The sequence below is a fragment of the Homo sapiens genome, chromosome 16, assembly GCF_000001405.40.
Source record: "Homo sapiens chromosome 16, GRCh38.p14 Primary Assembly".
Classification (NCBI taxonomy): domain Eukaryota; kingdom Metazoa; phylum Chordata; class Mammalia; order Primates; family Hominidae; genus Homo; species Homo sapiens.
The window spans coordinates 49,688,822-49,715,409 of NC_000016.10; the positions used below are offsets into that span (position 1 = coordinate 49,688,822).

Below are 26,588 nucleotides of genomic sequence, written 5' to 3' on the forward strand. Positions count from 1 at the left end.
TTGGCTTCTTTCAGCACCTCCAGTTACCCTGTGGTTGGTGTCCCATTTCTTTGAGAATGGCCACGCTAGTATCCACTCCACGGAAGCTCCTGGGCCAGTGGCTGTCCTCCAGATACTAGCAAGAGCCTAGAGCTGGACCAGGAGCCACCTGCACTACCCTGGCTCCCGAGACAGCATACCAGGCACCTCAGGAGATCTTGGCCAGGAGCACAGCCACACAGGTGAGGATTTGGAGGTTTGGGTGTAGGGATGAGAAGGATTTGTTCCTACTGATGTGTTGATTCATGTGTTTACCCGGGGCATGGGTCTAAGATTGTGTTGTATAATAAAGAATTTGGGGCTGGACACAGTGGCTCATGCCTGTAATCCCAGCACTTTGGGAGGTCAATGCAGGAGGATGGCTTGAGCCCAGGAGTTCCAGACCAGCCTGGGCAACATGGCAAGACCCCATCTCTACAAAAAAAAAAAAAAAGATGGGTGAGGAGAATTAGCCAGGCGTGGTGGTGCGTGCCTGTGGTCCCAGCTGCCCAGGAGGCTGAGTCAGGAGGATCGCTTGAGGGGTCAAGGTTGCAGTGGGCTATGATGGCACCACTGCACTCCAGCCTCGGCGACAGAGAGAGAGACCCTGCCTCAAAAAGAAAAAAAAAGAATTTAGGCCAATATTTGCAAAGATATGCTGCTTTCCTGAAGTATTTTCAGAAACATTAAAAGCGTGCCCCACACCTCCGTGACCTCCAGGAGGTCGAGGGGTGTCACAGTGTCTGTGACGGAACAAGGATATTGCCCTCTCCCTACACTCCACAACACCCAGCCAGAGGCCAAGAGGCCTTGAGAGTTACTGCAAGCAATCCCGTGTGGCACCCCGGGGGCCCCAAAGGCATGGTACACCATTGCTGGTATCTCCACACAACTTTACCAAGGTCAGGAACAGGCAGGTGGTACCTGAGGAGGCATCCAGGCTGGAGATGCATCTGGGAGGGGTGGCTGTCCTTCCCCCGACCAAAAAACCAAGGCAGTCCTCCCTCAGAATGGCCACATCTCTGGATCTCACAAGTCCTGAAAGGCTCCCAGGCAGTGACCCAGCTCTGCCACCAGATAGCTCAATAGCCAAGGACACTCTCCCAGGTCCACTGAGGATGGTAGCCTGGACTGTTTCACTCTGCCCCACCTGCCATCCCCAGGAAAGGCTTCCTCTCCACACCCTACTCCACCTCCCTGCACCCCCAGGGGTGTCCTGTTCTACACAAAAGGGCACAGAACCACCATCTACTAAGTGCAGCCCAGTGTACAAGGCAGTGTGCCAGCCCTTCATGCCCATTACTGCCCTGAACCCTCATCGCCATGCAAGAGAGGCTTCAGTGGCCCCATTTCACAGAGGGGTAAACTGTGGCTCACAAATACGTTAACTGCTAAAGACTGTGGGCAGAGAAAAAATGTGAACACAGAACTGTCAAGATCCAAATCACTGGGAGGCCGAGGCAGGAGGATCACTTGGGGCCAGGAGTTTGAGACCAGCCTGAGCAACATGGTGAGATCCCACCTCTAGAAAATAAAAAGCCAAACATAGTAGTGCACACCTGGAGTCTGACTACTTGGGAGGCTGAGGCAAGAGAATCGCTCATGCTCAGGATTTGAGGCTGCAATGAGCTAAGATCGTGCCACTGCACTTCAGCCTGGACAACAGACCAAAACTCTATCTCTAAACAAAAAACAATAATAATTCAATTTATCTGCTTTTCTTTTCATGATGTGACATCATCTCCCAGGAATTCTTCAGAGCTTCCACCCCTATTAATAAATCCCCTTGCAGAGAAAGTACTGACCAGAGGGGTTCTGGAGGAGGCAGCGAGGGGGTACCACTGGGTTACCATTGGATAAACAAATGGATTATCCATGCCCGACAGGCGGTGCCTCCTGGAAGCCTTATTACACCCTATAGGGGCACACAGAGAGGTACCCCCGAGCGCTCCCAACAGGAGTCACTGGAGGATGGGAGGGGGATGGAGACCTGGAAACAAGGAGATGGCAGGCCCGGGTGGAGTGTGGCAGGTAGAAAGAGGCTGCAGCTCCAGAGACAGCCAGGAGGTCGGTGAGCAAACTAAAGCAACCTGTTTCACCAGCCGCAGGCCTGGGGAGCGTGTGGAGACAGGAGAGGTGAGCTCCCCGGCAGCCCATGGCTCCAGCCTGAGGCCCAGGCATCTGACCAGAGACACTGATGACATCCTTCTCAGAAGCAGCCGTCGGAGGGGGCTGAGCGGCCCTTAGTGGGGAAGAATCAGCCGACCAGGGCAGAGGGCCCGACAGAGGGAGTCAGACAGGTAGACATAGAGAGTGGGTTCATCTATCAAAGCCCTCGCCCTCTTGGCAAGTTCTGATCTTCGAAGTTTCCAACTTGTAGCTAGAAAAGTGGCCACCTTCTATGCCCCCTCCCAGTTGGGAGGATGCTGGGGTCTGTGCAAATATTCACTCTGTGGGATGGTACAACTTGGTGACCAAGAACTTGGGCTGTTTGATCAGACCGGCATGGGTTTGCCTCCAAGCTCCAACACATCCTGGCTGGGTGATCGTGAGCAAGTTACTGAACATCTCTGAGCCTCGGTTTCCTCATAGGTTAAAACAGAGGATCCTCGGCCGGGCGCAGTGGCTCACGCCTGTAATCCCAGCACTCTGGGAGGCCTAGGCGGGCGGATCACGAGATCAGGAGATCGAGAACATCCTGGGTAACATGGTGAAACCCCGTCTCTACTAAACATACAAAAAATTAGCTGGGCATGGTGATGGGTGCCTGTGGTCCCAGCTACTCAGGAGGCTGAGGCAGGAGAATGGCGTGAACCTGGGAGGCAAAGCTTGCAGTGAGCCGAGATCGCACCACTGCACTCCAGCCTGGGCAACAGAGCGAGACTCCATCTCAAGAAAAAAAAAAATAGAGGATCCTCAACGTTCACAAGTAACAGAGATGTTGAGGGTATAGAAGATGGGGTGGGTGGCTGCACAAGGGAAGCGCCATTATGCAGTGACTATAAGCCTGGGGCTGAGCACTTGGCCTCCTCCTGCTGCTGAGGGACAGGGCGGCTGTGGCCCCCTATCCCTACACTGCCCCATTTCTTTTCTTATTTTGTTTGTTTGCTTGTTTGTTTGTTTATTGAGACAGGGTCTCTCGCTCTGTGGCGCAGGCTGGAGTGCAGTGGTGCAATCGCGGCTCACTGCAACCTCCACCTCCCAGGCTCAAGAGATCCTCTAGCCTCAGCCGCCAGAGTAGCTGGGTCTACAGATGAATGCTACCATGCCCAGCTTATTTTTGAATTTTTTTTGTCGAGACAGGCATCTCACTTTGTGTTGCTCAGGCTCTTCTCAAACTCCTGGGTTCAAGCGATCCTCCTGTCTCAGCCTCCCAAAGTGCTGGGATGACAGGGGTGAGCCACCACACCTGACCTGCCCCATTTCTTATGCAGAGCACTTGACATATGAGGACTTCTTCCCATGGGCTATAAGGGGGAAAACGATGAGGCTTTCTCCTTCCCCACTCCTCTCTGGCAGACCCCCAGCACACAGCCCGATGCAGAGCCAAGAGGTCTGCCCCAGGAAACAACCCAAAAAAACCAGAGTGAAGCCAGGCCCAAGACCCCACCCAAACTGACGTGGGACGAGGGACTGAAGTCCGATCGGTGTTGGACCCAAGAACCAGCACCTTAACCCATGCCTGACCCCCACTGCCTCCTTTCACCACGCAGGGTGGAGACTGAGAAGCCTGCAGCCGCCTCGTCCATCTTGCTAGGAGGCACAGAAGCCAAGGGAACAGCCACACAGGGGAAAGCTTGGAGAAAGGATGAGGAGGAGGCAGGGGAAGCTACAATCCTGGGTGGACACCCCTGAAGGACAGGCAAATGCCCACCCACTCACAACATGCTAGACAAAAGGCCACTTTCGAGTTTTTAACATATGCCCACATCTATTCTCTCTATGCAGTCTCTCTGCAGAAGACAATATTGTCTCTAGTGTTTAGATGAGAGGTGAAGAATAAGCAAAGATACCTCTTACATCTCCATGAAGGCAAGGGCTATTTCCTTCACCCCTGTGTCCTAAGCTTAGCCTAGCACTGTGCCAGGCACATAGTAGGTGCTTAATAAATGTTTCTTGAATGAACGAGTGAAAAGCAATCGTAGAATGCCTCTGTGAGTTCCACAAGGGCAAACATTATGATGTATTCACTTGCTTGGATGAGCCATAGAGTTCATGAATAAATGTGTGAATAAATAAAAAGAGTGATAGCTAACATTAAGTGCTTATTACATGCCAAGCATTGTTCTGAGCACTTTAAATTGATTAACACATTTACTTCTCCCTCCGGCTTCCCCTTCCTACTTCCCTCCTTTCCATTCATCAAATATCTATTAAGCATCTTTATTCCCTATGCTAATAATAGGGGTCCACAGAAATGAGCAGGGTGTGGGAAGAACCCGTGAGTATGAGGTATATGCTATCGTTAGTTCCATTTTACAGATGAGGAAACTGAGGCTAAGAGAATTAAGTTACCTGCCCAATGTCACACAGTAAGAAGGATGCATACGTGGGATTAGAACCCACAGTCAGGCTCCTGGTCCTGTCTTATGCGTGAATAAGGTTCAAAGGATGCTTATCAATGACCGTGGTGAAATGCTCCATGCTTTTCAGCCTGGCCAGCATCTATCCCTGCATTCTGTAGACCAGCCCTGTCTTCCTTGAGCAAACACTCCCTACCCGCTATGTGATTCAGGTACTTCAAGCCTGGCCAAATAGCACTGCACCCTCCAGCCACAGTGATTGGCTTAAGGATGAATACATGACCAATCCAGGCCAATCAGCGTGAATCCTGAGACCTCATTACACTACAGGAAAGAGATGCTCTACCTCAGCAAGGAGGCTATGAGCTTGGGGCCACCGGAGGAAGGGGGATTAACTTGCCCTCTTTTAGGAAGAGCCTGGCAGAGAATGAAGCCAACAAAAACGAAAGCAGAGACAAGAACACTAGAGAGATGAACTCCTAAGGATCCGGCCAGGCCTGAAGGTTTATCCTTAAGCCAGTTTGAGATGCGACTCTATTCCTTGCAAATGAAAGATGCCTGCCCAATACTATTATTGTTCAGTTCAACATCCTTCTCTTATAAATGAAAGCTCAGAGCAGGTCAGTAACTTAGTCAAGCTCATAGTCAGTGTCAATGCCAAGGCTAGAGCCAAGTCTCACGAAAACTCCTCTGCCAGTGCAACATTCCTCCTCAGTCTGTCTAACGAGGTTCTCCCCATGCCGTGATCATTTCTATGGACCCCTATTATTAACATAGGAAATAAGGATGCTTAATAGATACTTAGTGAATGGAAAGGAGGGAAGTAGGAAGGGGGAGCAGGAGGGAGAGGGAGGGAGACTGAATTCCCAGAGATCAAAACCTGTTCTTACTCAGCTTGGTATCACCAAGTGCCCAGCACAGTGCCTGCCATACAGAGACCCCTCTAAAAATAATCAGATGTGTGGCGGGCTGAATGCACAGAACAAAGCATGAGTCTTTGCTGTGCCAAGAGAAACAGAGAGGGTTCCATTAAATCCCCCAATTGCTAGGGGCACTAGCAGTAGAATTGGATTTGTAAAGCTACACACATGATTTTGTGCCTCCAGCCCTGAACACCTTTTTGGCCACATGGTAAAAACATCCTGCCTCTGCTCATCTGCAAGCAGGGATTGGAAATCATGCCCCCCGCCCCTGTGCTCAGCTGCCTTCAGGGGATACCTTTTCTTTCCCATTCTTAATACCCCCAGACTTCTAAGAGTCAAATCCCCTATGCCTTCCTCTCCTGCAACAGACACACCACACATAGAACTCCACTGGCCTCCAAGGGAAAGGAAGGGAGGCCCTGCCCTCCTCCATCCAGGAAGGGCTCTGATGCCCTCTGGCCAGGGCAGGCACCGCCAGCCACACTGAGGGTGGAGGATTACTCCTAACAGCATCTTGAGGTAGGGTAGGGAGAGCCTTGGGAAATACTTGTGAGCATTTCCAACACACAAAATAGGGTCTGGTTTCATGTGAAGAAATGTCTCTCTGCAACTAAGGGAAACCAGGCAAAATATGACCAAGCCTTACAAATACTTGTCCACCTAGTGAAGACGTGAGAGTGTGGTCCTCAGAGGCAGCCTCTGGCTCCCACATCCATATTCCACTTACCCTGAGACCCACAGCCAGTCCCTTCCCCTCCCTGGGCTTCCATTCCCCAGTTCTGCACCGAGCAGCTCAGGCGAAGGATCCCTCAGCAACCTTACAGGTTTTGGTTTTTGTTTTTGTTTCTGAGACATAGTCTCACTCTTGCCCAAGCTGGAGTGCGGTGGCGCGATCTGGGCTCACTGAAGCCTCTGCCTCACGGGTTCAAGTGATTCTTGTGCCTCAACCTCCCAAGTAGCTGGCATTATAGGTATGCACCACCATACCTGGCTTAATTTTTGTATTTTTATTTTATTTTATTTTGAGACAGAGTTTTGCTCTTGTTGCCCAGGCTGGAGTGCAATGGCACAATCTCGGCTCACCGCAACCTCCACCTCCCAGGTTCAAGTGATTCTCCTGCCTCAGCCTTCCCAAGTAGCTGGGATTATAGGCATGCGCCACCAAGCCCGGCTAATTTTGTATTTTTAGTAGAGATGGGGTTTCTCCATGTGGGTCAGGCTGGTCTCGAACTCCCAACCTCAGGTGATCCGCCCACCTCGGCCTCCCAAAGTGCTGGGATTACAGGCGTTAGCCACTGTACCCAGCAATTTTTGTATTTTTAGTAGAAGCGGAGTTTCGCCATGTTGGCCAAGCTGGTATCCAACTCCCGACCTCAGGTGATCCACCCACCTCGGCCTCCCAAAGTGCCAGGATTACAGGCGTGAGCCACCGCGCCAGGCCCCTTACTGGTTTTTATTTTGTTTGTTCATAAAGCAAAAAGAGTACTCGCTCTGGAGCCTGGAGAGTGTGGACTGGAATCCAGACTAGACAATTTAGTACAAGAAGGACAACAGCTACTACTGAGTGCTTGCTCTGTGCCAGCCACACTCCAAGCTCTTGCATACATTATTCCAATGCATCCTCCCTACAACCCTGAGGTGGGTACTATTATTATCCCCATTTTATAGATGAGGAAACTGAGGCACAGAGACCTTCAGGAAATTCACCAGAGTCATAAAGTCTGCAAGTGCTAGGGCCAGACGTGTGATCTCAGATAGGTTTACTCAGCTTCTTTGACCCCAGTGGACTCATCCGTAAAATGGGAACCCATGCCCAACTCTCACTGTTACTGTGAGAACCCACAAAGGGAATGAAGGGAGAAGGCATGGAGCCCTGGAACTGTTCTTTTCCTTTCCTTCCTCTCGCTTGAATGACAAAGGTCTTCACGCCTGCTCCCCAGCCTCACAAAGCAGGTAGAAAAGTCATTGCGATGGTGGGGGGTGGGGTAGCAGGCTCAGAATTCAGTGACAGGCATCCTCATACATGGGGTATTATTATTGCTGTTATTATTGACATGAAAGGCTAGAAGGCTCTGATTTAAGTAATTGGGCCACACCAAGCTCTAGCTCCAAACAAAGAAAGTGAAACAAGGCTACCAGAGAAGGACCTCATACCAGGGGCTCCCCATGGTGCCAGATTCCAAAAACCTGACTCCATCAGCCCCGCTCTCAAGGTGTTTTTCTACCTCCAGTGGCTTTGGGAGAAGGAGGCCCAGGCCCGCCAGGCCTGGCTGGCCTCTCCCCTAGCCCCTTTGAAGTGCCCAGCATGGGGTGGGCTGGAAGGAAAACCCTGGGCCACAGAGGCTGTGACGGCACCTACCCACCCCCACCCGGCTACCTCCCCCTCATTGTGCAGCCTGACTGGGCCTTTGTTGCCAGAGTCCTGGCGGGGGACAGCCAGGGACCTGGCCTCATTAAGTGCCTGACCTCAGGCAAGCCCCCCCCACCCAGGGTGGAAGGTTAATGTGGCTGCCCGCCATGCAGGCCTGGGCCTCCAGGAGGCTCCTCGAAGGGACAAAGGACCAGCCCCCTGTCTCCTCTCCAGGCCCCAAAACAGCTGCCAGCCTGCAGAGCGCTTTCAGGAGGGGGGCTGGCTTTGATGGCTCAGAAGTCACCAGGGGGGCCTCCTTTCCAAACCCTCCTTCCTCCCACCCTGTCAAGGAGACAAAGCTCACAGGGAATCGCCGGAGGGTTGACGCAGGAATGCAGTCCATCGTGGGGGAGGAGGCTGGCTGGTGACGGGCTGGCCCACACCTTTCTTCGACCTTCCAGAATTCCCCAGGGCTCAGGACCTTGCTTCCAAGCAAGACTCATTTCAGCCCTCACCAAGGTGGGATGGAGTAGACAGGACAAGTGGTCAGAATAAGTCAGAAGCCTCTCAGTCCCTAACCCACCAGGTCCTTCTGTCACCTGGTTTCTGGGTACAGAACTGATGTCACCTAACCAGAGATGGGCTGGGAGCAGAGCAGCTCCCAGAAAGAGAGAGAAGGCCAGGAATCCTGTGCAAGGGAACAAGCACATGATGTTTTTTAAAAGTCCCTCTGGCTTATCACATCACCTTCTAATAGGAGGGCTCACTCCAAAATGCTAATTACCTACCAAGTAGGCTCCTGGAGTCCAAGCCAAGCACCAGGTAGAACCACCTAGAAGGCCATTCCTGATCAATTCCCTCATACAATTTCCAGTTATTTGGAGGCCTGCGTCTCGTATGCCAGACTGACACGCAGGTTTACAGCACACTGATTTTAATTTCAAAAGACTCTAGGGAAATTTTTTGGAGTGTTTTATTTGCTTAAGATCCTGGAGCAAACACAGGGGCTCCCTGGGGCACAACAGGACTGGCCCAGGAAGCAGTACCCTGGACCGTGCAGTGGGATGGGCAGGAGTGCCAGAGTTGTGCGTTCACGCGTGTTTCTGCAAGCAGGTGTGTCCCAGCGTGTGCACGTTGTCAGTGACACAACAAAAGGCCAGCTGAAAGCCTTACCTACGGTGCGGGCAGGCGGCATGAGCCCGCGGTGATGCGAATCAGCCTTAACCAGCCCATTGTTGGGGAGCAATGCCTTTCAAGGGACAAAAGGCAGAGGGGGCAGGAGGATACACGGGGAGAGGCGGGCACATCTGTCTGTGGCATGAACCACTGCCCCATTACGCCGCCTTTCCCCACAGCAGCATCTGGGGGTGCGTGTGTGTGTGTGTGCAGGGACCAGCCCGACTCCACATTGTCCTGCCCAGCCAGGAGATGGAGAGTGCGGCACTCTTACAAAGACATCGATTTTCTTCCTTCCCTTCCAGAGCAAGATCAGATGAGCTCCCGGAGTGACACGTCCTTAACTTTTCAGTGGGGTTTTCTTTTTCTGACTTGTTTGTTTGTAACATTTTTTTTTAAACCAGGTCTCTAATTGTGTCTTTTCTTGGCTGCATCTCCTTTGCTCCCGCCCCCCGAAGCAAGGAGGGCATGTGCTGATTATCTGAGTGTGCAGCCTGCTCACGGGGCATCCTGGGCTCTAAGAATGCCAGGGGGTTAGAAACTGGGGAGGGGTGGGGGAATTAATTGCCAAGAAAACACAAGGCTGTGCTGCGACTTTGATTCCATCAATTACCATTATCTTTCTCCGCAGGTCCGCCAACCATCCCCCGATCCGGCCGTGTTTAACTTTCTTTGCCAGTCGTGATACCCCGTCAGATTTCTGGCGCTGCCACGCCGCCCGCCTGGGCTCCTTCTGGGCTCTTATCAGCCTCTCCCAGTCAGTCTGGCCCGCCACAGCTGTTCCAGGCCCTCAGCCCCTCACTTTATCTGCTCGCACAGACCTCGGCCTGGCAAGCGGTGGGCCCGGCGCCTGCTCCACATTCCCCAGGAAGCCAGCTGGGAACACAGCCGCCCTGCTCCCGGACCCTCTGAGAGTTCATTACCAGCCAGGGTACCCCAGCCCGTCAGCCAAGGTGCGGGCCGCGCTGCCGAGCCCGGCCGCCGGAGCCGCCTGCATCATTAAAACTCCAACCTTCTGAAGAGAAGAAAGAACAAAACCACAAATTTAGATTAATAAAGCATTTGTTGATTCTACAGCAATTTAGCAGGCCTCTAAGAAACCCACCAGAGACCCGCGGAGCTCCAGTAATTTTCTGTTATATTATCTTTCTTGTAAAATACTTCCCCAGACAGAGTCCCCAAAGGGGCTCAAATATCACTGTGACTAACCAAAATCAATGTGCACTCACCTATTGACATTTTTACATAGTTTTTGGATTTAGTATCCAGCCGAAAACACAATCACCTCCTCTGCCAAGGAGCCGACAGGCACTTAGCTAGTCAGCTATTAGTGTTACAAAGGGAAAAATGGAAGCACCCAGGGGAGCTGGGCGAGGCGGCACTGACGTCAGGGGGTAATTGGGTGTCTGAGAGAAATTGCCAGCGGCTGGCCGGCTCCCCCGGGGGCCGCACAAAGCTGAGCTGTAACTCTAATAAAGGAAAGGAAATTCTAGAAAAGGGGGCTTTGCTACAAAGGAGCCCAGGCAGACGCCAAAAATAGCCCTTTGGAAATAAATAAATAAATGCGGCCAAAACATCTAGATCTAAAAAATAAAATAAATCACTGCTCCACGGAAGCTTTCTGGCCTCGCCTCCCTGGACATCTGTTTGGGGGCGCAAAGGCTCCTCCCACACCGTCCCCCGCCCCCTGCCCCCGTTCTTCCCTGGAACCACATGGATTTTGATGCTGGAAGGAGGTTTGCCATCTGATTTGGCAAATAGTATGTGTTTTCAAAAGAATCTAAGTTTGTCATGTCCTCTTTCCCAGAGGTGGTATCTTCATTGTTTACTTTGGGGCTCACAAGGAAAAGGAATTTCTATTGTCCGGCTTTTAGTTGTTTTGATGTTTTCAGTTTTGATTTGTTTATTTTTGAGTGCTCTTACCATGCCATCCCCACTGGATGAAAATTGAAGGGGCTCTGGCTGCCTGGTTCAGGCCTCCTTAGGAAAAGTCTGTGTTCTTGGGAAGTGGGCTAAATTTTTATCTTACGGCTCTTCCACCCACTGACCCTGAGGCCAAGTGAGGGCCAAAGTCTCCAAGAGGGAGGAGGACAGAAAAATAGTGGACCCCACCCCACAGCAGCTCCCGAGCCAGGGCCCCAGGCCAGGATATCAGCCTCCCTGGGGAGTCTGCAGCCCTCAGAAGACAGGGGCGAGGGGCTGGGCTAGAAGCAGGGTTTCAAGGCCAAAGACCCTCTGAGACCCAGAGGCTGCCAGGAAATCCAGGCCTCCTTGATCAGGCAGAAGAGGGTGGCTTGGGGAAAGAGATGGCAAGAATGGGATTCCCAGGGTCAGATTCTATTTCATCGCTTTGAAAGAAAAAGGAAAAAGAGGCCCAGGATTTCAAAAAAAAAAAAAAAAAAAAAACAAGAAGAAGAAGAAGAAAAAAAGAAAAAGAAAAAAGCAGAATGCACTCCAACCCCAAGCTACTTGGAAATTGGTCGGAACAAAGGTCTTCAGCTAAAAATGTCAAATCAGCACCACAGGGCTCCCTGCCCTCTCCGTCTCCAAGCCCCTGCTGAAGCCCACAGGGCCTGCTGGGAGCAGAAAAGGCCCCTCCTGAGGTCTGCTCATGGCCCACAGCCCCACCCATCATGACACCCCAGGAGGCACAGGGCTTCCTGACTGGGGCGGAGGGGCAGCTGGAATACAGGGGGCCGTTCCTTTCCTGATGGAACATCCAGGATTGGCACTGGGGAGGAAAATCAGGCTGGAGAAAGGAAAGGGATCCTGCAACTCACAGCCCAGGGAGGGGAAGCAATGCTCAGGAACGCAGCCGCCAGCGCCCTGGCACCAAATCACAAACCTTGAATCAATGATGCAATTGCTTAATTAATCAGCCTGCTCGGGGTGGGTGCAGAGGATCTCTGTGAGCATCTGACCCAACCAGCTCCTGATGGGCAAACCCCCCTCCTTGGGCCCCCTCTGCTGGGCCCACGGGACCACAGATGGTTGAACACCGTCTGGGAGTCTCACCAAGGGGGGAAAATGTGAGTTCCTGAGTCCCCTGTGTGATCCAGTCACTCTGGCAGAAAGGAGGGAGGAGGCAGGAGAAAGGAGGAGGGAGGAGGGAAGAGGGAGGAGGGCAGAGGAGGGAGGAGAAGGGAGGAGGGTCTTATCAGCAACTTAGAATTTCTTGGCCTTGGCTGCTGTAAGTTAGCTCTCTCAATGTTATTTTCTTGTCCCAGTCAATGAGATTGTAATAGAAATAGAGAGGCCTCTTTTCAGCAAGCTAGTCAGTGCCAGATTTAGAATGAAAAAAGGCAGCTTAAATTAACCCTAAGGCTTAACATGTTTAAGTCTTGTAACTTTTAAAAAAACAGAACCAAAGGTGAGTGTGCAGGTGATGGAGGCTGAGATGAGTCACACGTGGAAGCCGGTATATGCACGTGTGCGTGCATGCGCACGTGTGTGTGTAGGGTGGGGGACAGGAAGGCACCCCTCTGTCTTTTCAAGACTTCAGCAGCAAAATGCTTGCAAAAAAGTAGCAGCCAGCCTTGATATTTCCTACGCTGATGGCCCCAACCAGCGACGAGGATTTGAAACCAGTTCGCACGGGAGATTGGACCATCTCCAAGGTTGATTTTCTCATCTTTAATGTGCAGAGGGGAGGTGAGAGGAGGAGAGGGGAGGGGAGGGGAGCAAGTGGGCCAATATCTCAAACCGACCCCAAACGGTTAATGATAATGAGACGGCAGCGCGCTACAGGAGCTTAACAGCTCTAAGGAAGAGGGGAGACCCAGGAGAGGGGCACGGCAGAGGTGTTTTCAATTACCAAAAAGAAAAATAATTTATTTTTAAACAATACCTCTTCGACACTGGGTGTTTAAAGAGAACATACTCTGGCCCCTAAAATATCAAAGTGAGATTTAAAAATAGAAAAGTCATTTCCCCCCTTCCCCGTTGCAGATTTTACTGTAGCGTTCTAGAAGGCAGATTAAATGAAGGAAGCTCAAACACACTCAATTTTGTCCTTTAGCAAATTCTTCTCTTTCACTCTTGCATGAAGAAAAAAAATCTCCCCACAGAGTTTTTCTCTTCTTCCTGGTGTGGATCTGGGCCCCTGCAGTGCCCTGTGTAATTTCCAGTTCCTCAGAATTCAGGTATTAATAAAGACCCCATGGGGACTTCCAACAATATAACCCTACATTTTGAGGCATTATGAAAGGAAACCCCCAGGGGTCTGTGGCTCAAATTTCTGAAATGTAGGCATTGTAAAAGGCACCCCAGGGGATGCCCGCAATAGAAATCTGCTGAATTCAAAGCATTTTGGAAGTCCTGGTGGGAGTCATTACTCCCACTGGAAGCTTTTTACAAAACATGTGTTGCTGACATGTTGACAGATTGCTCAGTGAAGTGTTTAGGTGCATGCACAAGGCGGGCCTTTGGAGACGCTCACACTGCCAGCGAGTCTCTGAACGCTGGAACCGGTACCATCCATATTTCATAACAGGGGAGGCCAAGGCAGCCAGGGACGGGAGAAGTGTTCTCCAAATCAGCAGCGAGCCTCGCACCCCTCTGCCGAGGAGCCACTTCGAGTGGGCCAGCCCCATCCTCGCCTTTGGAAGCTGGTTTGTGCAGCACAGCTGTGACGGCCCTTGTATCCCTGCCGAGGGCTTTACTGAAGGAATCTTGAGGCGACCTCACTGATCACTGCAAGGCGTCATGCCGATCAAATTGAGGAGGGGGCAGGGTGGAGGCGGGGGGCTGGCGGGCCCCTCACCTCCACCCCCAGCCCTCAAGGAGAGGCTGGATGGCGGGAGGGGGTCAGAACAAGGGGCACGCTTGGTCTTGACAGCATTAAGCTCAAGAAAGTGATCTGTGACTTTAATAAGGCTGAGAGGCTCCGAGGAATTAGCTGCCTAGGTGATGGGGGCCAGAGATGGATGGAAATGTATTCATGGCCTGGTGGGCCAAGGGCCAGGCTGGGGCCCTGGGGAGGCTGGCTCACCCACAGCCCCACACGCTTCCAAGCTCTCATCTCCAAAGGAGTTTCTCGGCCACAGACCCATGTGTGCTGGAGGAGCGAGTGCCAAGCCAACCTGCCTGTGTGCACACGCACACACACACACACACACACACACACACACACACACACACTCCATGGCAGGATAAAGCACCATATGCTCATGTTCATAAAATTTTAAAGGTAAAAGCAGATGTAATTTGATAAATGTGTACATGTGTTGATACGAACACATGCACCAACACAGGCGCGCAGGCATGCACACGCCCGCATTCCAATGCTGGGCCCTCCTCCCTCCTGGGCTCTGCGGTTACCGCTAGAACCTCCCCACAGGTGCACCAGGACCAGAGAGGCGACCTGCTTAACCGTGTCATGGCCGCTGGAACACACAAAGAAATCTCCTTTAGAAATTTCTTTCTTGAAAACATTTATTCTTTTTGAACTGTACTCTATCCATTACGTCAGCTTGGGGTTTTCCTTCATTGAATTTTTTTTAAAGCATGTGAAGGAGTAAAAATCATTTCTGACTTCAATTTAATTTTTAGGCACAACGGCATTTAGAGTCAGGGATGGGGTGGGGGTTTCCCAGGGCAGGGTGCCCATCCACCCAGCCCTACATTTTTCAGGGACTTTACCTGCAGGCTGGAAATTTACTCTGGATCTGGGACCAGAATCCTATCCTCAACCTGGTGGCCCTTCCTGTCTTTTTCCTCCTTTCAGGAGAAAATTACATTTCAATGGACAAATGGCTCTTCCTAGAGAAGGGTGCAAGATTCCACTCTCCCAAGGCCCCTCACAGACTTCTAGGGACAAAGGCTCCAGAGAGGCACCTAGCAGGGGAGCCCCATGGGGTCAGCCCAGGGAGGCCCAGCAAGGGTGGATCCGGCTCTGCTGACTTAATGGATTCCTTCCCACCAGCTGTCCTGGGTGAGAAGCTGCTAAGGCTTCTGGAGCTGGCTGGCTCCTAGGTCGCCCTAACTCGCTGGGCTGGCAGGGGTTGTTTATCTCCCAGCTCCTCTATGCCCCACCCTGGGTTCAATGCATCACCAGCTTGTGCCCAGCCCAGTGCCCGGCACATAAGAGATGAACAGGAGCCCTGTGGTGAGTGAAGAGGTGAGTGAAGCAACTGATGAGTGATGCGCCCAGGCCATAAATAAAAGCCATTTAAGTCTACCCCAGTAGACTCCATTCAGTGCAAGGGAGGAAGGGCAGGTTTCCCCTTCAGAGTGGACTTCAGAGAACCCTGTTCTTCAAAGAGGGCCTGGAGGCAGAAAGGGATGACTGAGCCCGGGTCTCAGGGATCCACTTTCCAGAGGGCAGTCTTAGCCCCTCTGGAACACCCTGGCTGTGCCATAGCCAGAGGGGGAACACAGGAGCAGGGGCATAAAGAACTGAAAAGGAGAAGGGAAGAATCTTCGCTAGAACCCCCTTCTAGGGCATCTCAACTCCACTCCATGACACTCCACGAAAACTCCCACTAAGCATGCCACACCTATAACAGGAAATCCAGAGGTGACCTCCCTCCTCTGGGTCCCTCAGTCCTACCCACAGGGCTCTGACACCTTTCTCCTTGGATGACAGTAACCCAGTGACCAACTTGTCCCAATTTGTCTAGGACTTCCCCAATTTTAGAACTGAAAATGCTACATACATACCAGGAAGCCCATTAGTCAGTCAGTCATGAGCAAACTGGGATAGCTGTACCCTCACCCCCAAGACTGTGAGCTCTGTGAGAGCAGGAACCAGCATAGAGCCTGATAGAGAGGAAGATGCAGTGAACATTTGCTTACTCCATGCATGCATGCTTGAATAAATGAAGGCTTTGTTCCCAGGCTCCAGTAGATCTGGAGGGAGTATGAAGGTTTGTGTCTCATCACACACAGAGGACAGAATTCCACTCCCATGTAACTGCTATGCAGAGCACACACACACACCAGACTCCCAAACACCACAGTGCCACCTCAGCTGCACTGTGGGCCTTCAAATATGGCTGCCAGAGCTTGGAACCAGGCATGAAAACTTCCCAGCTCCAAGGGACCTCCACTTCCAACTGGAGTCTCTCCTGCTCATCAGCAGCCCCAGGCCACCTAGAACTCCCTGGGCTCCCTCCTGGCCTGGAAGCCACTTACAAACCTGTGCCAACACTGCCACCTCCAGGAGGCCACCCTTTGCACCCACTCCTGCCTAGCCCTTCCAGCCTCTTTGTTGCCCGAGCTATTGGCCTGCACTTTTAAAGGTTAAATGACAGCACGGTGGGCTGTCCTGTCTTCTTTCTGGGAAAAAGGTGGGAGGGCACTTGGGATGGGAGAATAAGAAGGCCTTAAATACAGGCTTATCTGGTACATCAGGAGACAGATGTGAATGCAGGAGAATTCATTCATTCAACAGAGTCAAGGCCCCAGCCCTTCACAAAGCCTGCCATGGTCACAGCATGGCAGGTGGATCACTGGGATGGGGAGTGCCCTCTGTCTAGCTATAGGGCACTGTAATACACACCTGAGCACAACCTCACAATGGAACAGTATAAAGCCGATTAAAAGGAGGCTTTTGGACAATATTAATATGATAAGCTGTTTACAACCTATGGGTAAACAAAAACAAAGCAGATTGCAGAACAAGAATGTGGATGGATGAATGCCAAAATGACTCTCTGGATCTCTAGGTTATAACTGGATTTTCTTCTTTTCACTTCTCTGTACTTAATAGACCTTCCACAGTGAGTTTATTTTATTTTTTGTGCGTGATTTTGAGACAGAGTTTCACTCTTGTTGCCCAGGCTAGAGTGCAGTGGTGCGATCTAGGCTCACTGCAACCTCTACCTCCCTGGTTCAAGCGATTCTCCTGCCTCAGCCTCCCAAGTAGCTGGGATTACAGGTGCCCACCACCACGCCAGGCTAATCTTTGTCTTTTTAGTAGAGATGGGGTTTCGCCATGTTGGCTGGGCTGGTCTTGAACTCCTGACCTCAGGTGACCCACCCACCTTGGCCTCCCAAAGTGCTGGGATTACAGGCATGAGCCACTGCGCCCGGCCCCACAGTAAGTTTATATAGCAAGCATAAAACAAGAAAAATGTATTTTGAGAAACAAGGGAGTGTCCAAGTGCTCCATTGCTTCTGGGAACCCCAGAGAAGGCACGTGGACGACCATCTGTGTAGAGGTCAGGAAAGGCTTCCAGGAAGACTGGAAGGATGGGATGGCTTTACAGGGAGGCACACTGCGGGGTGGTGTTTAACGCAGAGAGAACAGCGTGGGCAAGGGCACCACACACTTCAAAGGCAAGGGTGAGGTGGGGAGTGGTAAGATAGCCTGGAAAATAGGGCCAGACATGACCACAAATGGCCACCCTAGGAAAAAAAATGAATTTTGGTCTCATGGGCACTGGAGGCTGTCAGTCCTCAGAACTGACCCCTCACCACTCCCCATCAAAGGTGAAGCCAGTTTGCCTTGAAGAACTAGTTTCCATTTAACAATTGGACCCTCCGTAAGATGGGCAGGACTGTAGTCCCAAAAGGATAGAGCCTTCAAGTTCTCACCTCCAGGCCAGCCATGGCCACAGCTGCCTGGCCAATCAGACAGACACGCTGGAAGAATCCCATCCCTGGGTACCAGCATTGACCCTCCAGTCCTGTGCTCTAAAGGGGGCTCACTGCCTTGTGGGGACCAGGGCATGCTGCCCCACCATTCACAACAGAGCCAGGTGTGAACTGGGCCCAGGGCCACTCCACCGCCTGGAGGCAGACTTCCAGCCACTGGTGGGATGGCTGCCACCAAACACAGAATCCAGGTGTCAGAAGGAAATTAAAACAAATGACCCTGCCACATTTTTTATCATCCATTCATAAAAAATACAAGAGCAACATGGAAGAAAAATAGGTCACTTCAGTGAGATTTACAGCAACTTAGAGATCTAAACATCACCCGAAGGTCTTCTGCCTCCATCTGGCTTCAAAAGGCCAGGTCTGATTGACCCAGAAACAGAAGAGAAAGTCCAGAACCCAGACAAAGTGAGGTAATGGCTCCGGGCACCAACAACACAAGGGCACCTTCGGCCTCACATGGCAGGTGGTCCCAGGACCCATGACTGCCAGCCAGGAAGGAGAAACCTATAAACAAACCCCCAGGACAACCCACACACCTGCCCATGCTATCCACAGCAGCCAGAGGGATCTGTTAAACACACACACCGGATCCTGTCACCCTTCTGCTGACCTCTTCCAATGGCTTCCCACTAGGCTTGGAATAAAATCCCCACCCCTTTCCATGGCCTGCGAGGCACTATGTGATCTGGCCCCAGCCCCATGCCATGCCCTCACCTCACCGCTCCCTGGGTACCTACCCCCGGGGTCCCTGCCGGTACCCCGACGCCCTGTGTCACCTCTGCTTCCCCAGGGCCTTTGCACATGCTCTCCCCACTGTCTGCAGTACTCTCCCCACTAGGCTCCACCCACTTACCTCTTGCTCCTCTCAGACCCAGGGTCAAGATGTGGGGAGAACCTATATACAGAAAAGAGCATTTGTCAGGCATGGTGGCTCACGCCTGTAATCCTAGCACTTTGGGAGGCCAAGGCGGGTGGATCACCTGAGGTCAGAAGTTAAAGACCAGCTTGGTCAACATCTTGAAACCCCGTCTCTAATAAAAATGTTAAAAAAAATAGCCAGGTATGGTGGCAGGCGCTTGTAATCCCAGCTACTCGGGAGGCTGAGGCAGGAGAATCATTTGAACCCAGGAGGGGGAGGTTGTAGTGAGCCGAGACCACGCCATTGCACTCCAGCCTGGGCGACAGAGTGAGACTGTCTCAAAAAAAAAAAAAAAAACAAAGAGCACTTTCCCTACTCATAATTCAAAATAAAAAACACTAAATTATAAAATAACTATAAAGAAGCCTTGATAAAATTTACGTATTATTTACTTATGCATCCTCTAATGCTTTAAAAAAAAATACTAGTGCCCTAAGCACTTCCTTGCAGATTTGCAGATCTTATTTTACTTACTTATTTATTTATTTATTTTTTTGAGACAGAGTTTAGCTCTGTCACGCAGGCTAATGTGCAATGGTGCGATCTTGGCTCACCGCAACCTCCACCTCCCAGGTTCAAGCGATTCTATGATTCAGCCTTAAAAAAGAAGGCGGGCTGGGACTGAGCTCATGAGGGCCTGCAGAGTGGAGACTTAAATCCAAGGTCAGGGCAAAACATCTGGAGTTCATTGCCAGGACTGTGATGTTACAGAAAAGGACCGTGAAAGGTGCGTGCGGGACCCAACACAGAATCGTGGCCATGAATGGGCTCGCTGAGGACATTCGACATCAGCGGTGCCATGAGAAGCCATGCCACCAGCAACAGGGGAAAGCTACGGAACCTGCCGGCAGATCTACAGCATGGAGATGGCTCCAAAGATCAACCTCTTGGTGGAAAAGAACTGGCTGGATCGGCGGAGCTGCTGAGCCTGTGGATACGACACCCACCACTTTTTTCTTTTCTTTTTTTTTTCTTTTTTGAGGTAGAGTCTTACTCTGCCCCCCTGGCTAGAGTGTAGCGGCAAGATCTCAGCCCACTGCAACCTCTGTCTCCAGGGTTCAACCGCCTCAGCCTCCCCAGTAGCTGGGATTACAGGTGTGTGCCACCATGTCCAGCTAATTTTTTTTGTATTTTTAGTAGAGATGTGGTTTCACCATGTTGGCCAGGCTGGTCTCAAACTCCTAACCTCAAGTGATCTGCCCGTCTCGGCTTCCCAAAGTGCTGAGATTACAGGCATGAGCCACCATGCCCTGCTCTTCCTTGCAGAACTTAGCTCCAACTCTACCACCTCAGGGACCCCTCCCCGACATCCTCCACTGCCCACATGCCACAGGGACCCAACACGTGCTACCCGCACAGCCTTTCACAGGCCATGGATGTACCTTCCCCTAGAAGCACTTGCGGAGGCTGTCATTTTCCCACTGCTTGTCTGATTCTTGGACTAATGTCTGTTCCCCCCAGCACACCCTCAGCTCCACAGTGAGGACAATGCCTGCCTCCTCCTGCTTCAGCACAGGGCATGGGACCTAGTAGGTGCTCAGTAAATATTTGTTGAATGAATGAATGAACTAATAACCCCATGAATGAATGGGCGGGGGGTAAAGATTCACATTACAAACTTGCTCTTCAGTGAAACAGAAAGATCCATCACTGAGCTCCTGGGAAGAGCTGATTTCCCTAAGGAATTCAAATAGTTATTTCAGCAAACATTTACAAGACACCTACTATGTACCAGGCCCTGAGGACATAAGGATGAACAAGACAGGCCTTATCCTCCAGCAGCTCGGCCCAGAAAAGACAAACGCATAAAAAACTCAAACGTTCAGCAGCCGTTTATATATATATATATGAAAACGGAGCTTCGGAGCCCTGGGGGAAAGCCAAGGAAACAAAGCTGACTTCAGAAGCACCATCATTTCCTGCCTCTTGTCTCCCCCAACCATCCCTCGAGGTCAGGACGCTGCTGTTCTCAGCAGGTGCCACCCTGCTCGGTGTAACAGAGGCACACAAATCTGACTCTTCCCTGAAGCAGGGGTTCTTCACAATGACATCATCTTAGTGCCCGAGAGGCTGCCTTTTTTCATGGAAGACACGTTTATCAGGTTCCTACACCACGCCAGGTACGATGCCAGCCACTCCAGGTATGGAAACGAGACCATGGTCCCCGCCCTCAACAAGGGGTGCATCTAGTTCAGCAGCTCTCAGCCAGGGGCAGCAACCGCCCTTCAGGAGCATTTTTCAAGTGCCACTGCTATCGTCTGAATGTTTACGTCCCCCCAAAATTTGTATGTTGAAACCTAACCAAGATGATGGTATTAAGAAGTGGGGCTTTTGGCGGGTGATTAGGTCATGAGGGTTCCATCCCTACGAGTGCGATCAGTTTCCTTATCAAAAAGCCCCAACATAGCTTATTAGTCCCTTTTTGCCCTTGCACCAGAGGGCACATAGAAGTCTCCATCTATGAGGAGTGGGCCCTTACCAGACACGGAATCTCCTGGCACCTTGATTTTGGACTTCCCAGCCTCCAGGACTGTGAACGACAAATTTCTGTTGCATGTAAATCACACAATCAGTCTCAGATATTTTGTTATAGCAGCCAGAGCGGACTGAGGCAGCCACAATAATCAGGGAGGTTGCTACTGGCATCTAGTGGGCAATGCCAAGGATGCTGAATGTCTTGCCAAGCAAGGAACAGTCCTCAGAATGAAGAATTATGCTCCACTACATGCCACATGTAGAACAGTTGAAACTCTAGAACAAATCTATCAGCCTAAAATAAACCAACAAACTCTCCCTTGACTTGCACACAGTTGCTAGAGATAGCGAGCCAAAAGTACAAATAACAATAATGACAATAATCTATAGTCCGAAGAGGTGACCTGCTCGTCATGTCTAGTTTTGGACCCTAAAACACCTCAGCTCTCACCAAAATTCTTCTTCCACACTTCCCAGGTCCTCCCTGCCTCCATAGTTGGCCTATCCTTCCTAAAGTCCTTGCTACTCCGGTGTGGTTCAGTAGCATCTGCATCCCCAGGGAGTTTGTAAGAAATGTAGACTCTCCGGCACCCCAGGTCTGTTCAAATGGAACTGCATTTTCATAAGATTCCAAGTGATCATAAGGACCTAAACGCCTAAGAAGCACTGCCTGAAGTCACTTCAGGGCCGACTCTGGCACTTTCTGCTCAAAAGTCACCAGGCGGCAGAAGTAGTGAGGGAGACTCCATCCCTGCATCCTCTCCATCCCCGGCATCCTGGTGAGATGGCACAGCACCTCTGTGCAGAGCAGCCGGGTGCCACTGGAATGACAGGTGGCTCTTAATGGTGGGAAAACAAGAGAGGGGACTCCACAAAAAGTCAAACAGGTGTCCAGCCTTAAGGAACCCACCTGGGGAAGATTCTCATTTAAGCTCCATACCAGTCAAGAGGTGACAACACGTGGCAATGCTAAGGAACACTGTTTAATTCCCGAGGGGCTTGCCAGCCTGAGAGGACCCAGAATGAGTGTAAAATGAGGTTGCAATGTCTCCCTCAGCACCAGACAACACCTGTGCCCCACCCCCAGGCTTCACTTGGGGACATGGGGCTCAGATCCAAGTCTTATTTCAGGGTTTCTCTCCCAGCTGCACCAGAAGCTGCCGGGTAGGCAGGTACTGACTCCCCTCTGTGGGCCCCTCAAGCACAGTATGTAAAGCCAAGTTGGTACTAGGGTGACGACTGTGGAACGGGGTGAGATGGGATGGGATGGGACAGGATAGGATGGAATGAGAGGGGTGGAATGGGATGAGTAGAGCAGGTGGGATAAAATAAGATGCAATGGAACAGAATGTTGGAATGAAGGAAAGAGAAGGTTACAGAGGCTGGGCCCAACGATGCCCCTTCTCCTTATCAACCATGGAAAAAAGTGTTCCTACAGGGAGACGTGTACAAGAATGTTTACTATAGTGAACAACTGGAAACACCCTAAATACCCCCCACCAGGGGCCTGCTGCATAAAGCACGGGGCATCCACACTACGCAAGCCCCACAGCAGCTAATAAGAAGTAGGGAGATGTACCCGCTGAGGTGAGAAGCTCTCTGAGGTCTAATACTAAATGGAAAAAAAGCAAGTTGCAGAATGATAGATCCAATATGGTATCATTCATTTTTTAATCAAAAATCAATATAACATTGTTTCTGTGGATACACATAACACTATATTTCACTGAACGTAAGACACCGTGGATGGTAAAATGCACCATTATTTTACAGACCACTGAAAAAGAAAAACAAAACCCACTGTCAATTAAACCATGACAAGCCACTAGTTGAAAGATGCACCTCAATTTCAGAAATGTTAAAATGTGTCTTAGAATCTATGAAATACAGTATTACGTAAAGGTGTAGGAGAAGGTCTGGAATCAAGAAAGCCAAAATGGTAATAACAGTAGTTAACAAGGGGGTGGGGACAGCCTGAAGCCTATCTTTGAAATTTTTACAAACAGAATACATTTATGGCCAGACGCAGTAGCTCATGCCTCTAATCCCAACACTTTGGGAGGCTGAGGCAGGAGGATGGCTTGAGCCCAGGAGTTCAAGAGCAGCCCTGGGCAACACACGGTGAGACCTCGTCTCTAGAAAAAATAAATAAATAATTTAAAAATTAGCCAGAAATGGGGCCACATGCCTGCAGTCCCAGACACCTGGGAGGCTGAGGCAGGAGAATCGCTTGAGCCCAGGAGGCTGCAGTGAGCTATGTTCACACCACTGTACTCCAGCCTGGGCAACAGAGCGAGACCCTGTCGCTATTTAAAAAAATAATAATAATAAAGAATACATTTATGTATTACTGTGATATTTGATCACATTTAATTGTTTTAAAATAATGAGGGAAGGCCTTCTCTGCTCCTCACTTGGAGGCAAAGTGATGCTGATAACATAGGGGCCTGCATTGGTCACAGAAGGAACGGGCGCCCGCACTGCTAATGCACGGTGGGGCTCGCGTGCCTGAGCAGGTGGGGTGCCGCAAAGCTTTGTGAAGAGGAGAAAAAAAGCTCTTAGGAATGTCCAGAGGGGAAAGTGCCATTGGAAAAAAAAGAAACAATAGAAAGAGAATTTGATTTCGGGAAACAAACAATTCATAATCCACTGATAGAGGGCTACTCAGGGGCTGAGGGTTGGCCCCCAAAACAGCTCCTTCATCTCCCCTCACTGCCCTCTGCAAAAGCAGTTTGGAAAGTCATAATGCCATCCTGAATGCATCCCTCGCTAGGGACCTCCTCAGACTCAAGCTTCTAATTCCACCTTAATATCCAATTCTGTGTGTCAGGGACGGCTGAACCTCGGCCTGCAGCCGCCACATCACCTTGCCCTGCACACAAATAAAAATAGCTTTGGTGCTCAGAGCACCGGTTCCCTTGTCTTATCCTCTGGGGGTCCCGGGAGCGGCGCGATCCGCGAGTGGAAACCACGTGTGATGGAAATACATAATGAACAAAGAGGCTCCGCGGATGCATCCTTGACCTTCCTGCTTTTCCTTGACCTCTCCACTGCCATTGTCCCTATGAAGCCACAAACAGAATGACACCGTCGTGCAGGTGACAGCCACAGAATGCCTTCCATTGCCAATTTCTCCAGGAGTTAAGCAGAAAATGGATTTAATCAGAATGATAACTGATTCATGTCGCCATTTATGCAAATAAAGTTTTGGCAGCTCAGGCCTCCATTTGTACACCTCCACTTGCCAGGCGCTGGGCCTCCAGTCTGACAAATCTGCTCCTCTGCTCCATCATCTGTGGCCTTACAGAGCAAGACCAAAGTGCTGGCAATTGGCTTGTCCCAGGAAAAGGGACCACCAAAAGCTAAAAGCCCACAGTCACCTGACATAGCCTCAGGGTCCAGGAGAAACAGGGCACCACCCACTCCCCCACACAAATCACACAGGAAACTGCTATAAACTGGGGCTGATCTCCAAAATCTGACTTCTGAGCATTTGCTCATCCGCAGGATCTAAGAGAGCCCAGGGAGTGGGGTGGGTACAAAGGATATTTGCCACTGTCCCCTCTAGATCCGCCCCCACCTTGGTCCATTCCTGCTCTGTGTTCCTGCAGCGACTGCAGTGGGGGAGGAGACAGATTTGGGGTAGTTATTCTCCCAGCCTCTGCCCTGCCCTGCTGCACCCCTCTCCCTCAGCAGCCTCCCTACAGCCAGTCTCTCCAGGTGGCCTAAATGCCCCTCCCCGCACCCTGGCAGGTTCTCAGGATGATGCCCCACTCCTGGACAGCTCCCCTTCTTCCCCTGCCCGCTTCTGCAAATGGGCCCTTTATTAAATGCTCCTCCATCTCCCGGTTTGAGTGCGCCATCTGTTTTCTGTTGGGACCCTGACCAAGGGGGTATTCTTTAAAGAATTTTTAAGTAAATATGTCTGCAAGGTGTTTGTTGAGACTGTGATAAAAAGGCATTCGAGGAAGCAGTGTGAAAGATGCCATCCGTGAGACTGGAGAGACAGAAAGTCAGTGATCAGACACGCAGGCCCAGAGAATGTGGGCGAAGAGGGAATCTTCCAGTAACTCACTCCCCCGCTGCCAGGGCCCCCATCCCTCCCCTGTGATCTGGCTGTGTGGAGTCAATGACCAGTGGCTTTCTCCCTGCAACTCCATCACGCCTCCCACAGGGCAGACAAGTCAGCCCGGCAGTGTGGTAAAGGAAGGAGGAGAGAGTGAACCCACCAGGCACAGTTGCTTCTGAAGCCCAGCTCTGGGTCTCTTGCTTAACGCCCCAGCAGTGCTTCTCAAATCCCATCCCCAGGAGCCGGAGCATCTTCCTGTGCCCTGCAGACGGCTCATTCTCCCAGGAGATCATGGGCTCCGAAGGGCGGGAGCCAATTGTATTTATTCATCACCTCACACATGATGGTATGACGGTATGACGAAGCACCCGGTGCTTACCTCCTTATTATCTGTTTCCCCAACCAGGGCAGGGATCTGGTCTACTCAGGGTGCTGCTATATTTCAACACGCAGCCAGGGCCTAGTACATACTAGGAGCTAAATTAAAAACTGATGGGGCCAGGTGCGGTGGCTCACACCTGTAATCCCAGCACTTTGGGAGGCCAAGGTGAGCAGATCACCTGAGGTCACGAGTTCAAGACCAGCCTGGCCAACATGGCAAAACCCCATCTCTACTAAAAATACAAAAAATTAGCCAGGTGTCTGTAATCCCAGCTACTTGGGAGGCTGAAGCAGGAAAATTGCTTGAGCCCGGGAGGTGGAGGTTGCAGTGAGCCAAGATCTCGCCACTGCACTCCAGCCTGGGAGAAAAAAAAAAAAAACTGATGAGGCCGGGTGCAATGGCTCACACCTGTAATCCCAACACTTTGGGAGGCTGAGATGGGTGGATTGCTTGAGTTCCAGATCAGCCTAAGCAACATAGTGAAACCCCATCTCTACAAAAAAAAAATTAATTTAAAAATAAAAATGGGTGGTCTGAAATATGAACTGCCCCCTCCACTGAAGACCGAAATGCACCCTGGGGTTTGTCCCGCGGCCCCTGCTCTCCAGCCCCCAGGAAGCCATGGGAAGAGCCATTTCTGGAATGGGAAGGGAGGTGTGAGTTGGGTGTGGCTTGGTGGAATTTGAGGAGGGGAAGGCTTCTTTCCAGTCCCGAGGAGACGGCCCAGCTGCAAGCCCCCAAGAATTCCTGGTGTTCGTGCCATCCAAGGGAACAACTTAGCACCACCCAGGCCACTTCCAACAAATCACTGAGTAAGTATTCCCTGAGCATTTACTATGCACCAGGTCTGCCACAAGGCCAGAGACAGGAACAGGCATGAGGGAGACAGCACAGGACGGGACTCCTAAGAGGGTCACCTTCGAGTGGCAGAGACAATAATTCAAAAACATCAAGCAATCACTGCCATAAAGGAAATAAATGGTGTGATGTGTTTGGCGTTGAAGGGAGCCGCTGCTGCAGGAGACGGGGGAGGGTGTCAGCAAGGAGGGCCGCGCTGAGGAGGTGACCTTGGAGACACAGAAGGAAGTGAGAGAGCTATCCACGTGAAAAGCTGAAAGAACACCCGGGGAAGGCAGGTGGTGCAAAGGC

General features: G+C 51.1%; 1 protein-coding gene and 1 pseudogene across 13 annotated transcripts in view, besides 13 other annotated features; one reads left to right on the top strand and one right to left on the bottom strand.

Moving 5' to 3' along the window:
* The window catches only part of ZNF423 (zinc finger protein 423), a 371,756-nt gene that overhangs the window by 201,298 nt on the left and 143,870 nt on the right, over positions 1–26,588 (bottom strand). The window lies entirely within an intron of this gene.
* Positions 7,133–7,814: an enhancer, noted in NCBI's record as "NANOG-H3K27ac-H3K4me1 hESC enhancer chr16:49729865-49730546 (GRCh37/hg19 assembly coordinates)". NCBI's record gives its function as "activates a minimal SCP1, AML or CMV promoter by ChIP-STARR-seq in primed H9 embryonic stem cells {active_cell/tissue: H9 hESC(primed)}" and the evidence as "EXISTENCE:reporter gene assay evidence [ECO:0000049][PMID:30033119]".
* Positions 7,815–8,496: an enhancer, noted in NCBI's record as "NANOG-H3K27ac-H3K4me1 hESC enhancer chr16:49730547-49731228 (GRCh37/hg19 assembly coordinates)". NCBI's record gives its function as "activates a minimal SCP1, AML or CMV promoter by ChIP-STARR-seq in naive H9 embryonic stem cells {active_cell/tissue: H9 hESC(naive)}" and the evidence as "EXISTENCE:reporter gene assay evidence [ECO:0000049][PMID:30033119]".
* Positions 8,497–9,178: an enhancer, noted in NCBI's record as "H3K27ac-H3K4me1 hESC enhancer chr16:49731229-49731910 (GRCh37/hg19 assembly coordinates)". NCBI's record gives its function as "activates a minimal SCP1, AML or CMV promoter by ChIP-STARR-seq in naive H9 embryonic stem cells {active_cell/tissue: H9 hESC(naive)}" and the evidence as "EXISTENCE:reporter gene assay evidence [ECO:0000049][PMID:30033119]".
* Positions 9,179–9,860: an enhancer, noted in NCBI's record as "H3K27ac-H3K4me1 hESC enhancer chr16:49731911-49732592 (GRCh37/hg19 assembly coordinates)". NCBI's record gives its function as "activates a minimal SCP1, AML or CMV promoter by ChIP-STARR-seq in naive H9 embryonic stem cells {active_cell/tissue: H9 hESC(naive)}" and the evidence as "EXISTENCE:reporter gene assay evidence [ECO:0000049][PMID:30033119]".
* Positions 9,861–10,542: an enhancer, noted in NCBI's record as "H3K27ac-H3K4me1 hESC enhancer chr16:49732593-49733274 (GRCh37/hg19 assembly coordinates)". NCBI's record gives its function as "activates a minimal SCP1, AML or CMV promoter by ChIP-STARR-seq in primed H9 embryonic stem cells {active_cell/tissue: H9 hESC(primed)}" and the evidence as "EXISTENCE:reporter gene assay evidence [ECO:0000049][PMID:30033119]".
* Positions 11,225–11,906: an enhancer, noted in NCBI's record as "H3K27ac-H3K4me1 hESC enhancer chr16:49733957-49734638 (GRCh37/hg19 assembly coordinates)". NCBI's record gives its function as "activates a minimal SCP1, AML or CMV promoter by ChIP-STARR-seq in primed H9 embryonic stem cells {active_cell/tissue: H9 hESC(primed)}" and the evidence as "EXISTENCE:reporter gene assay evidence [ECO:0000049][PMID:30033119]".
* Positions 12,367–13,717: an enhancer, noted in NCBI's record as "VISTA enhancer hs625". NCBI's record gives its function as "enhancer in: hindbrain (rhombencephalon)[3/6] | forebrain[3/6]" and the evidence as "EXISTENCE:transgenic organism evidence [ECO:0001131][PMID:17130149]".
* Positions 12,589–13,270: an enhancer, noted in NCBI's record as "NANOG-H3K27ac hESC enhancer chr16:49735321-49736002 (GRCh37/hg19 assembly coordinates)". NCBI's record gives its function as "activates a minimal SCP1, AML or CMV promoter by ChIP-STARR-seq in naive H9 embryonic stem cells {active_cell/tissue: H9 hESC(naive)}" and the evidence as "EXISTENCE:reporter gene assay evidence [ECO:0000049][PMID:30033119]".
* Positions 15,997–16,096: an enhancer, noted in NCBI's record as "active region_10806". NCBI's record gives its function as "activates an Ori minimal core promoter by ATAC-STARR-seq in GM12878 lymphoblastoid cells {active_cell/tissue: GM12878}" and the evidence as "EXISTENCE:reporter gene assay evidence [ECO:0000049][PMID:35858748]".
* Positions 15,997–16,679: a biological region, named in NCBI's record as "H3K27ac-H3K4me1 hESC enhancer GRCh37_chr16:49738731-49739411".
* Positions 15,999–16,679: an enhancer, noted in NCBI's record as "H3K27ac-H3K4me1 hESC enhancer chr16:49738731-49739411 (GRCh37/hg19 assembly coordinates)". NCBI's record gives its function as "activates a minimal SCP1, AML or CMV promoter by ChIP-STARR-seq in naive H9 embryonic stem cells {active_cell/tissue: H9 hESC(naive)}" and the evidence as "EXISTENCE:reporter gene assay evidence [ECO:0000049][PMID:30033119]".
* Positions 19,180–19,439, top strand: MRPS21P7 (mitochondrial ribosomal protein S21 pseudogene 7; annotated as a pseudogene).
* Positions 23,362–23,929: an enhancer, noted in NCBI's record as "H3K4me1 hESC enhancer chr16:49746094-49746661 (GRCh37/hg19 assembly coordinates)". NCBI's record gives its function as "activates a minimal SCP1, AML or CMV promoter by ChIP-STARR-seq in naive H9 embryonic stem cells {active_cell/tissue: H9 hESC(naive)}" and the evidence as "EXISTENCE:reporter gene assay evidence [ECO:0000049][PMID:30033119]".
* Positions 23,930–24,496: an enhancer, noted in NCBI's record as "H3K27ac-H3K4me1 hESC enhancer chr16:49746662-49747228 (GRCh37/hg19 assembly coordinates)". NCBI's record gives its function as "activates a minimal SCP1, AML or CMV promoter by ChIP-STARR-seq in naive H9 embryonic stem cells {active_cell/tissue: H9 hESC(naive)}" and the evidence as "EXISTENCE:reporter gene assay evidence [ECO:0000049][PMID:30033119]".